At 45.8% G+C, this 13,732-nt stretch overlaps 1 annotated feature.

Annotated features, from left to right (window-relative positions):
• Nucleotides 1,190-1,691: an enhancer, noted in NCBI's record as "OCT4 hESC enhancer chr17:43427135-43427636 (GRCh37/hg19 assembly coordinates)". NCBI's record gives its function as "activates a minimal SCP1, AML or CMV promoter by ChIP-STARR-seq in primed H9 embryonic stem cells {active_cell/tissue: H9 hESC(primed)}" and the evidence as "EXISTENCE:reporter gene assay evidence [ECO:0000049][PMID:30033119]".

Genomic DNA, 13,732 nt, shown 5'->3' with positions numbered 1-13,732 from the left:
TTTTAGGTCTTTCATCCACTTGTAACTTTTTTTAATATAATGTGAGGTAGAGAGGCAACTTAATTTTTTTGTGTTTGTGGCTACTCAGTTATCCCAACACCATTTCTTGAAATTCTTTCCCCATTGAATTGTTTTGGCATCCATGCCAAAAATTAGCTGATCATAAAGGTGAGAGTATTTCCGAATTCTTGATTCTATTTCACTGATCAATATGTCTATCCTTATGCCAGTACCATACTGTCTAGATTACTGTAGCTTTGTAGTAAGTTTTGAAATTGGCAAGTGTGAGTTCTTCAATTTTGTTCTTCTTTTTCAAAATTGTTTTGCCTATTCTGGATCCCTTGAATCTTCATATGAATTTCATAATCAGTTTATTGATTCCCGGAAAGAGGCGAGCTGAGATTTTGATATGGACTACATTGAATGTATAGATACATTTTGGAAGTATTGTCATCTTAACAACATTAAGTCTTCCAATCCACAAATATGGGATGTCTTTGCATTTATTTAGATCTTAATTTCTATCAACAACATTTTGTATTTTTCAAAAGTATAAGGTTTGTACCTTTTTATTAAATTTATTCCTAAGTACTTTATTATTTTTGATATTCCTACAAATAGGATCATTTTTAAATTTCATTTTCAGATTATTCAATGCAAGTGTATAGATATACAACTGATTTTTTTTATCCTACAACTTTGCTGAACTTGCTTATTAGTTCTAATAGTTTTTTTAAAATGGATTTTCTATATAAAAGACCATGTCATTTGAGAATATTGACAGTTTTACTTATTCCTTTCCAATCTGGATGCCTTTTATTGCATTTTCTTCCCTAATTGCCCTGGCTAGAACCTTCAGCACAATGGTGAATAGAAGCAGCAAGAGTGAATATCCTTGTTTTGTTCCTGATCTTAGGGGAAAAGCATCCAGTCTTTCACTATTAAATATGATGCTAACTGTGAGTTTTTTGTCTATGCCCTTTATCAAACTGAGTTCTTTACTAGTCTTAGTTTGTTGATTATTTTTATCATAAAGGGGTGTTGGATTTTGTTAAATGCTTTTTCTGTGTGGATTGATATATGATGTTTGTCTTTTATTCTATTGACACAATGTATTACATTCATTTTTTTTATTCAACCAACTTTGCATTCCTAAAATAAATCCCACTCTGTCATGGCGTATAATCCTTTGATATGCTGTTGGAATTGGTGGTTGGCATTTTGTTTTTATTTTTATATTTTAAATTTTTCTTATTTTTAAAAAAATTTCAATAGCTTTTACGGTACAAGTGTTTCAATAGCTTTTATGGTACAAGTGGTTACATGGATGACTTCTATAGTAGTGAATTCTGAGATTTTAGTGTACCCATCACTAAGTGTACACTAGTGTACAGCCAGGTAGTGTACGCTAGTGTACAGCCAGGTAGTGTACGCTAGTGTACAGCCAGGTAGTGTACGCTAGTGTACAGCCAGGTAGTGTACGCTAGTGTACAGCCAGGTAGTGTACGCTAGTGTACAGCCAGGTAGTGTACGCTAGTGTACAGCCAGGTAGTGTACGCTAGTGTACAGCCAGGTAGTGTACGCTAGTGTACAGCCAGGTAGTGTACACTGTACCCAATATGTAGTCTTTTATCCCTCACCCTTCTCCCAATCTCTGCCTCCTGAGTTCCCAAGGTCCATTATATCATTTTGTATGTCTTTGCATCCTCATAGCTTAGCTCCCACTTATAAATGAGAACCTGAATTACTGAATTACTTCCTGAATTACTTCACTTAGAATAATGGCCTCCAGCTCCATCCAAATTACTGCAAAACATATTATTTTGTTCCTTTTTATGGAGCAAAAAATATTAGTACTTTTTTGTAGTAGTATTCCATTGTGTATATATACCACATTTTCTTTATCCACTCATTGGTCGATAAGCACTTAGGCTGGTTCCATATGTTTGCAACTGTGAATCGTGCTGCTATAAACAGGCATATGTATGTGTCTTTTTCATACAATGATTTCTTTTCCTTTGGGTAGATAACCAGTAGTGGGATTGCTGGATCAAAAGGTAGATCTACTTTTAGTTCTTTAAGGAATCTCCATACTGTTCTCTATAGAAGTTGTACTAATTACATTCCCACCAGCAATGTCAAAGTGTTTCCTTTTCATCACATCCACACCAATATCTTTTGTTTTTTGACTTTTTAATTATGACCATTCTTGCTGGAGTAAAGTGGTACCTTATTGTGGTTTTAATTTGCATTTCCCACTGATGTTGAGCATTTTTTCACATGTTCGTTGGCCGTTTGTATATCTTCTTTTGAGAAATGTCGATTCATGTCCATTGCCCAATTTTTGATGGAATTATTTTATTTTTTTTCTTGCTGATTTGAGTTCCTTGTTGATTCTGGATATTAGTCCTTTGTTGGATGCACAGTTTGCAAATATTTCCCCCATTCTGTGGGTTGTCTGTTCACTCTGCTGATTATTTCCTTTGCTGTGTAGAAGCTTTTTAGTTTAATTAGGTTCCATTTATTTATTTTTGTTTTTGTTGCATTTGCTTTTGGAGTCTTAGTCACGAATTCTTTGCCTAGGCCAACGTCTAGCAGAGTTTTTCCAATGTTATCTTCTAAAATTTTTATAGTTTTAGGTCTCAGATTTAAGTCTTTGATCCATCTTGAGTTGATTTTTCTATAAGGTGAGAGATGAGGATCCAGTTTCATTATTCTACATGTGGCTTGCCAGTTTTCCCAGCACTATTTATTGAATAGGGTGTCCTTTCCCCAGTTTATGTTTTTGTATGCTTTGTTGAAGATCAGTTGGCTGTATTTAGTTTTATGCCTGGGTTCTCTATCTGTTCCATTGGTCTAAGTGCCTATTTTTATACCAGTACTATGCTGTTTTGGTAACTATAACCTTGTAGTATAATTTGAAGTCCAGTAATGTGATGCTTCCAGATTGTTTTTGCTTAGCATTGCTTTAGCTATTTGGGCTCTTTTTTGGTTCCATATGAATTTTAGGATTGTTTTTTCTAGTTCTGTGAAAAATGATGATGATGTTTTGATGGGAATTACATTGAATCTGTAGATTGCTTTGGGTAGTATGGACATTTTCACAATACTGATTCTTCCCATCCATGAGCATAAGATGTGTTTCCATTTGTTTGTGTCATCTGTGATTTCTTTCAGCAATGTTCTGTAGTTTTCCTTGTAGAGATCTTTCACCTCCTTGGTTAAGTCTGTTCCTAGGTATTGTATTTTATTTATTTATTTATTTATTGCAGCTGTTGAAAAAGGGATTGATTTCTTGATTTGATTCTCAGCTTGGTCGTTGTTAGTGTATAGCAGTGCTACTAATTTGTGCACATTGATTCTGTAACCTGAGACTTTACTGAATTCATTTATCAGATCTAAGAGCCTTTTCGATGAGTCTTTAGGGTTTTCTAGGTATACGATCATATCACCAGAAAACAGGGATAGTTTGACTTTCTCTTTTCCAATTTGGACGCCCTTTGTTTCTCTTGCCTGATCTCTCTGCCTAGGACTTCCAGTATAAATTTTTCTTATTTTTAATTTGACAAAGCCTCATTCTGTACCAGAGAATGCATCTATATTCATAATATGTATTGGTCTGTAATTTTCTCTTTTTTGTGTTATCTTTGCCTGGTTTTGGTATCAGGCCTCAAAGAATGAGTTGGGAAGTGCCTAAGTTTCTTTTTGACTAAACTGTTGGTCAAACTTATATCTTGATATTTACAACACTCAGGAAAAGCCAAGGCCCTGCAAAGTTTATCTGGTATTCTCAAGTGGAACATACATCACCATCAACTGGGCACTGTTCAAAGCAAATTCCTGGTTCCTGAGCTCCGGAGACTCTGATTTGCAAAGTCTGCAGCAGGGCTGGGTACTCTCTATTTCCTTTTTTTTTTTTTTTTTTTTTTTGAGACGGAGCCTCACTCTGTCGTCCAGGCTAGAGTGCAATGGCACAATCTTGGCTCACCGCAATCTCCGCCTCCCAGGTTCAAGCGATTCTCCTGCCTCAGCCTCCTGAGTATCACCATGCCCAGCTAATTTTTGTATTTTTAATAGAGATGGGGTTTTGCTGTGTTGGCTGGGCTGGTCTCAAACTCCTGACCTCAGATGATCCACCCACCTCAGCCTCCCAAAGTGCTGGGATTATAGGCGTGAGCCACCATGACCGGCCAGTACTCTCTAACAAGCACCCTTAAGAGATTCTCAGATGAGCACCCTCTCATTTCCCTTTAAGAAACATTGATAGAGTTGCCCAAGCTGACCCAGCTAAGCAGCCAAAGAGGATGGGCTAGAAAAGTGATGTTTCTTCACCCAGGAGTCTGAGCTTTTAGCGTGTTCGTGTCCATAATGAATATCTAAGGCAGAAGTTAGAGTATGCATTATTTCCCAAAATTATTTGTCCACAAAAATCTCTTATCTTTTGGATAAGCACCTCATAGGATTGATGTTTCACAGCATATACTTTGGGAAGCACTGACCCAGAATTATGCAAATGTCTCTTTGGAATCTCATGGGGCTTTTTTTCTAAGCACTAACGCACTGTGGCTTGAAGCTGCTTTTGTATGTGTCACCATCAGTCAGATGTTTGCCGGGGCCTCCATTAGGATTAGCTGATTTAGGCGCTTGCCTCGAGAGCAAAATTTCAGGAGGTGCCAAAACTCCATAATCAAGAAAAATTATTATTTGGAGGCTGGGTCAACAAGACAGCGCATTGGCAGCCAGTGGAGTAAGGAAGGGATACAATGGTGTAGCGTAGGGGGTGCTTAATACTCACCGTGAGTGGAACCGAGAGCCGGGGTCTATCTCGGTGGGGCAGCAGGGCAGTCAGGCCAGGCATCTGGCCTGTCTCTCCTGTAGAAACTGCTCCAAAGGAGGGGCAGCCCTCTCTCACCTCTTGACTCCCATCCCAGGCACAATACATGGAACACAGGATTATTCAACTCCCTTAGAGACAGAGATGATGCCAAGTTGACTTACCTCCCAGCTCCTGCTCAAGTATCTAACCCACTGAGCACAAGGAGACTCAGTCAATGCCTGTGGGCAGACAAGGGGCTGGATCTCATCTGGAAAGCGTCCCTGGTCTTTGTGTGGGTGCCTTGCTTTGGATGTGCTCCCAAATCTGACTCGGGGGGAGGGAGGCTGGGTGCCAAAGAGTTTCTGGAAAAAGTCTGTCCTTTTCCGAATACCCTTCCTCTCTGTGTCCAACAGAACTTGACCTCAAATGTGCAAGTTCTAACATTCAAAAGAGTTGGGTTTGGGCCTGATTGGGCTAGTGCTAGATGTTTGTGATTTATGCAATCACTGGGGTCTGATTAAGCTCCACAGCTGGAAGGCCTTCAGCCATGACTTTGGGGAAAAAAAAAGAAAAGAAAAAAACACAAAACTCTGAAAGCCAAGAGTAGGAACAGCTTCCTGGGCCCACCCTTCAGGCTGGTTCCAGGACACTCCCTTACTCCACCACTACCCACTCATGTATCTCATTAAAAGGGCTTTATAGGTCTGTCTCTTCTTTGGAATTTCCATTTCTTCTTTATTCCAAGAACTATAAAAGCCTCATCAATTAATTGCTAACCACAGGAATCAGAACAGGGTTCCCTTTAACTAAGTGTGCAAAAGAGTTATTACAGAGGCTCCACGCTGATCTGCTCAAAAGAGGAAATGTTTTCTCTTAGACGACATCTAACTGAAGATAAGCCTCCAGCTGACTATAGAAGATTACTCTCTATGCAACAAAAAGCTGGTTCCCCACGGCCTCTACTTGTCAACACCTCATAAATTTACTTTGAGTTGCTTCATAAGCTCAAAAGTACAGTGATATCTTCTGGGAATTAAGCTTTGTAATAACTTGATTGTGTTAAACAAATAAACTTCAGAAGGCAGGGCAAGCTAGACCCCAGGGAAGCTACCCGGATGTGTGGCCTTGAGGGTTGCTGGAAGGCAGGTTCTTAGAGACTGTGTCCCTAGCTCTAGGATGCTGGCCCTCAAACAAATGTCATTTCACAGAGCAGGACCTGAGACCTAGGGTGAGAGAGGGGGTGATTGGTCCATATTCACACAGTGGCAAAGCTGGGGTTAGGATCTGGGTGTTGTTGCCAGATCCTCTCTCTTTCCCTACCGACCCCCAGGATCCAGCACCTCCACTCTGCTCCCCACCCTCCTAGGAGGGCAGGAAAGAATCTGACAAGACTGGGCGCAGTGGCTCACACCTATAATCCCAGCACTTTGAGGGGCCAAGATGGGAGGATCACTTGAGGCCAGGAGTTCAAGACCAGCCTTGTCAACATAGCGAGACCCCATCTCTATTAAAAAAAAATAGAAAAAAAAAGGAAAGACTCTTACAGCTGCCCAATGGAACATGTGTAGGAATGAGAGTCAGCCATTTTCTCTCCTCAATCAGTCTCTGCATTTTAAGTCATTTATCTTTATTGTGCTATGAAAGTCTTTGGGTTGTGTCAAATGGATTTCAGGCAGGGAGGGAGCAACTGGTGAGAAGTTAGGAGGCTGCTGAAGTCATACCTGGAGTAAAACAGAAGTTCTCACCCCAGACTGCACAGTAGAATCACTGGGGGTCATTTTTTTCCGTGTGTGTGTGTGTGTGTGTGTGTGTGAAGCACCTGTCTGCTGTTGAAAGGGGGGTCTTTTTTTTTTTTTTTTTTTTTGAGACGGAGTCTCGCTCTGTCGCCCAGGCTGGAGTGCAGTGGCATGATCTCGGCTGACTGCAAGCTCCGCCTCCTGGGTTCACGCCATTCTCCCGCCTCAGCCTCCCGAGTAGCTGGGACTACAGGCGCCCGCCACCACACCTGGCTAATTTTTTTGTATTTTTAGTAGAGATGGGATTTCACCGTGTTCGCCAGGATGGTCTCAATCTCCTGACCTCGTGATCCACCCACTTCAGCCTCCCAAAGTGCTGAGATTACAGGCATGAGCCACCACGCCCGGCCGAAAGGGGGGTCATTTTTAAAATCCCAAATGTGCAGACCACATCCCAGACCAATTACATATAAATCTCTGAGGGGGAGCCCCAGACTTCAGGCTGGAGGGCAGTGGCACTATCATAGTTCACTGCAGCCTTGACTTCCTGGGCTTAAGAGATCCTCCCATCTTAGCCTCCTGAGTAGCTAGGACTACAGGCACAAGCCACCACACCTGGCTAATTTGTTGTTGCTTTTTTTTTTTTTTTTGAGATGGGGTCTCACTATCTTGCCCAGTCTCAGGATTTCTTAAAGCTCCCTAGTGATTCCAACAAGCAGCCAAGTTCCAGAACCATGGAGTAAAACCATTCTAGATCAGGCACAGTGGCTCTTGCCTGTAATTCCAGCACTCTGGGAGGCCAAGGTGGGCAGATCAGGAGGTCAGGAGATCAAGACCAGCCTAGCCAACATGCTGAAACCCCCTTCTCTACTAAAAACACAAAAATTAGCCGGGTGTGGTGGCGTGTGCTTGTAGTCCTAGCTACTTGGGAGGCTGAGGCAGGAGAATCGCTTGAACCCGGGAGGCAGAGGTTGCAGTGAGCCAAGATCACTCCACTGCACTCCAGCCTGGGCAACAGAGTGAGACTCCGTCTCAAACAAACAAAAAAACAAACAAACAAAAAATTTCTAAACCAGATGAAGCCAAAAAGGGGTGGGACAGTTGCGGTTGTGGTGATGAATGCCCAACATTTATGTGGACAAAGCTGTGTGATCTTGGACAAATCACTTAATGTCTTGGGGTCTCTGTTTCCTCATCTGTAAAGTGAAGATGATTCTATAACCTTCCTCATAGGGTTATTATAGGGTTGAATGGGACAATGCTTGTAAGTCCTTGGCACAGTGCCTGGCACACAGAAAACACCCAGGAACTTTAGGTTTTGCCTATTATTTTAGAGTTTACAGTGATGTTTTCTATGCAGTATCTCGAAATTATACCTTACCTCCTCAATTATAGGGGTGCACATTTTTGCATTTTAACATCTTTAAAAGTGTAATGCATAGACAGTGTCTTATATTCAGCGACATGACCCTCACCTGCGCTAAGCACTGTTCTAAGGGTTTTATGTTAATTACCTCCTTTAACTCTCACAATATCCCTAGAGAAGAGGATGATTATATCCATCCCCATTTAAGAGACTGGTAAACTGAGGCCCAGAGTGAAGTGCCTTGTCTGTGTTCCCATAGTCAGTGGCAGAACAGGGATTAACCTTGGGTCGGGCTCTAGAGTCTGTGCTCCTGACCACTCTGCTATATAGCAGCTCATGGAAACTGAAAGGCAGGTGAGGTGAGCAGAGTCATCCAGCTGGGATTTGAATCCATGACACCAAAACCACCATGCTTGTTCCCTGTCCTGCTTCTGACTGGAGGCCGATTCCCAGCTGCAGCTGGGGGAGAAGTCCACATGTGGCTGTCAGTGTGTCTGCACAGAGGGGGAGCTGAGACCTAGGGTGAGAAAGAGGGTGATTTGTCCATATTCACACAGTGGCAAAGCTGGGGTTAGGATCTGGGTGTAGATGCCAGAGCCTGTCTCTCTTTCCCTACCCACCCCCAGGGCCTAGCCCCTCTGCTCTGCTCCCCACCCTCCTAGCAAGGCAGGAAAGAATCTGAGAAGGCTGGGCACAGTGGCTTACAACTATAATCCCAGCACTTTGAGAGACCAAGATGGGAGGATTGCTTGATTTACCTACCCTGCCTGGTCTGCCTGGCTGGTGCCCCCTTTCCTTCTCTCCCCTCTTCCTGTGCTAGCCGCGTCTCCTCTCTCGCCGACCTCCATAGGCAACCACTAGGGTATATTCTCTGGCCCATCTGACATGATATTAGCCAGTGTCAACGGCAGGGATGAATTCTTTCCTACCATCCCAAGGCACATCGGGCCCCCCGCCTCACACGTGTTCTGCTCACCATGCATCCGCCTGTACGATGGATCCTGGGCCCTCGCCCTCACCATCCCAGCACAAGAGGGAGTCTCATCATAGTGGCTCCTATCCCTTCAGTGTGTACTCTGCCCCACCCGGCATTCTGCTAATTGTTGCATGTGCACGCCTCAGTTTCCCCACAGCTGCCCCATGAGCCCGGTGGAATGATTACCCCCACTTTGAAGGTAACAAGCCTGAGGGACTCAGGCTGAGCAGCTTGCTGAGATGGAACATGAACCCAGGTCCGTGTGACTTCCACACCCGTCTTCCAGGAAATATTTGTGGAATCCATCATTTTATTACATTACAATATTAATCCATACAATAATGGGTTCAACAAATATTTCCTGGGTTCCTCTCGTGGGCTGGCTGAGCTGGGCATAGCATGGTGAGCAGAGCAGGGTGAGTCTCAGCCTTCAGGGAACTTAGAACCAACTGGGCCAATGGACTCGATTTGAAGACTCACACCCGGATGCGGTGCAGCTTCAGATGCAGAGGGCCGTGGAAGAGGCCAGCGGGAGGCTGGAGCCAGCAGGAACCGTGGAGCCTGTTTCAGCAGAGTGGCAGGAAGTGAGGAAGGGAGGCCTGGAGAAGGAGCCAGCCTACCTTCAGGAGTCAAGGGGGCAGGACTTTGCTGGTATGGGGAGGGCCTCGAGCAAGCGTCCAGCCACGCCCCCTCCTCCCCTACTGGGAGAGCCACAGGATGCCCCAAGAGCAAGAGAGCAGGCAGAGCCCTGACAGGATCCAAGTCGAGTCATTAAGAGACTCTCCGCCTGGGTGGATCCACTGTCAGTCTCAGCACCCACCAGCTCCCATCCTCCTCTGGCAAAGGAGAGGTCATCCCCCAGGTCCATGGCTGACGGGGCAGAGGACCGTATTTGTCATCCAGCTCCAGCTCAGATTCTTAGGAAATAACAAAGTAACAAGAGATCAGAGAGGTCTAACTCAGTCAGAGGCGCTGGCAGATTTTAATCAAAAACAGCACAGAAGTTAAAACCTTAACCCAAACCATCCCTGCCAGATAAATTCAGTCTCTCCTGGAAGTTCTTTATAAAGGGTTCTCCATGCACTGCACAGTACACAGTCATCAGTTTCTGTGCTTAAATAATACTCATGGGCTGTGAATCCTTCTTCACCCTAAGCCTAAATCTTCTTTACTGGAATCTAACATGAATACCAGCTTCTCACTATATTTCTATTTGTGAGATAATATATATTTGAAGATGGTAAATTGTTTTCCAATACAAACTTAAAAATTACACCAGTCGCAGTGACTCACATCTGTAATCCCAGCACTTTGGGAGGCTGAGGCAGGAGGATGGCTTGAGGCCAGGAGTTTGAGACCAGCCTGGGCAACATGGCAAAACCCCTTCTCTACTAAAAGTTTTAAAAATTAAAAAATCCGGGCATGGTGGCACACACCTGTAGTCCCATCTACTCAAGAGACTGAGGTGGGAGGATCGCTTGAGCCCAAGAGGTCAAGGCTGCAGTGAGCTATGATCGGGCCATTACACTCCAGCCTGGGAAACAGAATGAGACCCTGTCTCAAACAAACAAACAAACAAACAAACAACTTAAAAATTTTGTGGCTCACACCTACAATCCAGCACTTTGGGGGGCCAAGGCAGGTGGATCATTTGAGGTCAGGAGTTCCAGACCAGCCTGGCCAACATGGTAAAACCCTGTCTCTACTAAAAATACAAAAAAAATTACCTGGGCATGGTGGTGTGCGCCTGTAATCACAGCTAATGGGTAGACTGAGGCAGGAGAATCGCTTGAACCCAGGAGGCCGAGGTTACAGTGAGCTGAGATCACACTACTCCACTCCAGCCGGGGTGACAGAGTGAGACTCTTGTCTCAAAAAAAAAAAAAAAAAAGTAAAAATTAAAGATGACCCTAGAGCTTTGATGTAAAATGGCAGGGTTATCTTAAGCCACTTTGCTCCTTTGGTTCTGTTGGCACTGAGACAGCCAGTGAGGAGGAGCAGGGGCACAGGAAGGAGGGTGCAACTGCAGCACAGCCAAGGAGACAGGGACCAGGTCCCACCCCAGCCTTAAGCAGGGCAAAGACAGGAGCCCAGATGCCCAGGGACCCCTGTGAACCACCCGTCAGCACATCCCAGAAAGGTCCTGAGGACTCCAGAGTCACTCCAGTCCTTCTCACCTACCTTGTCACAAGAACCATCACACACACACACACATACATACTGACTGGCATGAACATTTTGGGGTGTCAGATGTAACAGTGCCAACTGAGGGTAGGCTTGACAGATCTAAATGCTTGTCCCAACTTTGCCCTTTCTAGCTGTGTGACCTTGGACAGGTACCTAACCTCTCTGATGGTTGGTATCCTCTCTGGGAGAATGGGGTGAAGACTCACACAAGACAACCCTCATGGGGTAGTTCTGAGGACCGATGGAGTCATGGAGCCAAAGTGGCTTGTGAACTGGACTAACACGACGTATTAGATTCATGGTTGCCTTAGGTCTGACCCTGAGCAGGAGTCCAAGAGGGACAGGCAGGAGAGGAGAAAGAAGTGAAAGGTGTGGCAGCCCTGGAAATGTCCCTAAGCCCCAAAGCTAGGCACCTTGCTGCTGTTGGGGTCTCTGCCAGGGTCTGAGGTGAACATACATGGTGAAAACAGTCGGGGGTTATCTGGGTCAGGTCCTGGACCTGACACTTTTCATGGGATCATCTCAAAAGAGCACGAGGGCTGGACATGGTGACTCATGTCTGTAATCCCAGCACTTCGGGAGGCCAAGCAGCAGGAGCCTCACTTGGGGTCAGGAGTTCAAGACCAGCCTGGCCAACATGGTGAAACCCCATCTCTACTAAAAATACAAAATTTAGCCGGGCATGGTGGCATGTCCCTGTAGTCTCAGCTACTCAGGAGCCTGAGGCAGGAGAATCGCTTAAACTTGGGAGGTGGAGGTTGCAGTGAGCCAAGATCATCCCATGCACTCCAGCCTGGAGCAACAGAGGGAGACTACGTCTCAAAACAAAACAAAACAAAACAAAAAAAAGCACCAGGAGGCAAGCATTTTGGTTTTCCCATTCTACAGAAGAGGAAACTGGGGCTTGGGGAGGTTCAGTTTTTAGGCTGGGCTGGCATTCCCCTGGGTGCTAATGGCTATGCTGTATGGCTGTGTAGGGGGTACATGGATTCTGCAGGACAGGAAAGCGTTAGAAGCTTCCCCCACGGGGCCAAATTCTCCATTAGACACAGGAGGCACACTGACGCTTTTGGGGCCCCGTGAAAATGTTGGTGGTGGTGGTTTTTTTTTGAGACAGGATCTCATTTTGTCACCCAGGCTGGAGTGGAGCAGTGCAATTGCAGCTCGGTGCACCCTCCAACACCCTGGGCTCCGGTGATCCTCCCACCTCAGGCTCCTGAGTCTGGGACTACAGGAGTGTGCCACCACACCTGGCTAAGTTTTGCATTTTCTTATAGAGATGGGGTTTTGCCATGTTGCCCAGGCTGGTCTTGAATTCCTGGGCTCAAGCAATCCACCCGCCTCGGCCTCCCAAAGTGCTGGAATTACAGGCCTGGCTGAAAATGTTTTAATTTTATTTTATAATCAGAAGAAATGTTGAACAAAATAATAATCAATAGATAATCATGAATCCAGCTTGGGTTATATTCATCTTTATACCAACACAGTTGTATAATATACTTTGTAATATTTTTCTGTGGAGGAAGGGACCCATGAACGCAAAAGGCAGATGTGGCCCTGGTGCCCCAGGGCTCTGTCTCGACATGGGAGAGAAAAGTCAGGAGCTCCTTCTCCCTCTCCCCACCTCACTGCTTCCTCCCAGCCCCTGGTCTGGCTCAGCAATGCCAGGCCAGACCAAGTCCGGCCGACTGAGCCAAAGCCAAAGCCCCAAGGGCAGCCCAGGTCACCCCGGCTTAGCCTGTGGAGCCCCCACCCCACACCCTGTCCCAGGTTCTTCTCCCAGAGCCCCCTGCCATCCCAGCATCCTTGCAGCCCAGAGCTGAGGAAGGGAGTGTTCCGATTCCTGGCAATGCCCAGCTTCCTGTTTTTCTCCAAGTGGATGAGGTCAGGCTGCTGGAAAGGGACATGGGGGCCATTTGTGGGCCAATAGATCCCAGCCGTGTGGATGGACTCAGTGGCTGGGGGAGGAGTGGGGGAGCTGCACTGGGCCCCTGGGCCCCCTACTATCCACCCAGAGGGCCCTCTCTTCCTGATACCCCCGCAGACTCCGGCAGATCCCCACACACCTCTGCAAGGTCTCCTTGTTCTCTCTGACCTCCTGAGCTTCAATTTGCTCATCTGTGACACAGTGAGGGGGCTTCTGCAAGTGCCTGCCTACCTGCTCCGGGGACCTAGGCCAGACTGAGAGTGGGGTGGGAAGGGCTCTGCCAGCCACCGAGCAGTGAGGCTGGTGACGGGAGCTGCAGGAATCACAACTGCGCCCGTTTACCGCACCCCCGCCCTGTGCCAGGCCCTCCCCCTGTGCAGTTTCAGCTTCACATGGCCTTATGAGGATCGACTTCTTATTTCTATTTTGTGACTTAGGAAAATGAGGCTAAATGCCTCACCTATGATCACAGGGATAGGAAATGACCGATATCAGGCCTGTGCCCACACCACAGCCACCTCCCTCCTCACACTGCTGCTGTGGACAGTGCTGTCTCAGAACCTGGTGAATATAGGTTTCCCTCTGGTGGGAGGATCATAGGATCCTGACCCGAGTACATGAGATGTTACTACATGGGGAAGATAAGACGCTTCACCAGACAGGGCCAAAAGACACCAGGGATTACATCTGTAATCCCAGCAACTGGGGAGGCTGAGGTGGGAGG

The sequence above is a fragment of the Homo sapiens genome, chromosome 17 (genome assembly GCF_000001405.40).
Source record: "Homo sapiens chromosome 17, GRCh38.p14 Primary Assembly".
Classification (NCBI taxonomy): Eukaryota; Metazoa; Chordata; class Mammalia; order Primates; family Hominidae; genus Homo; species Homo sapiens.
The sequence above is the reverse complement of the archived record's forward strand: the minus strand, read 5'-3'. Positions and strand labels throughout refer to the sequence as shown.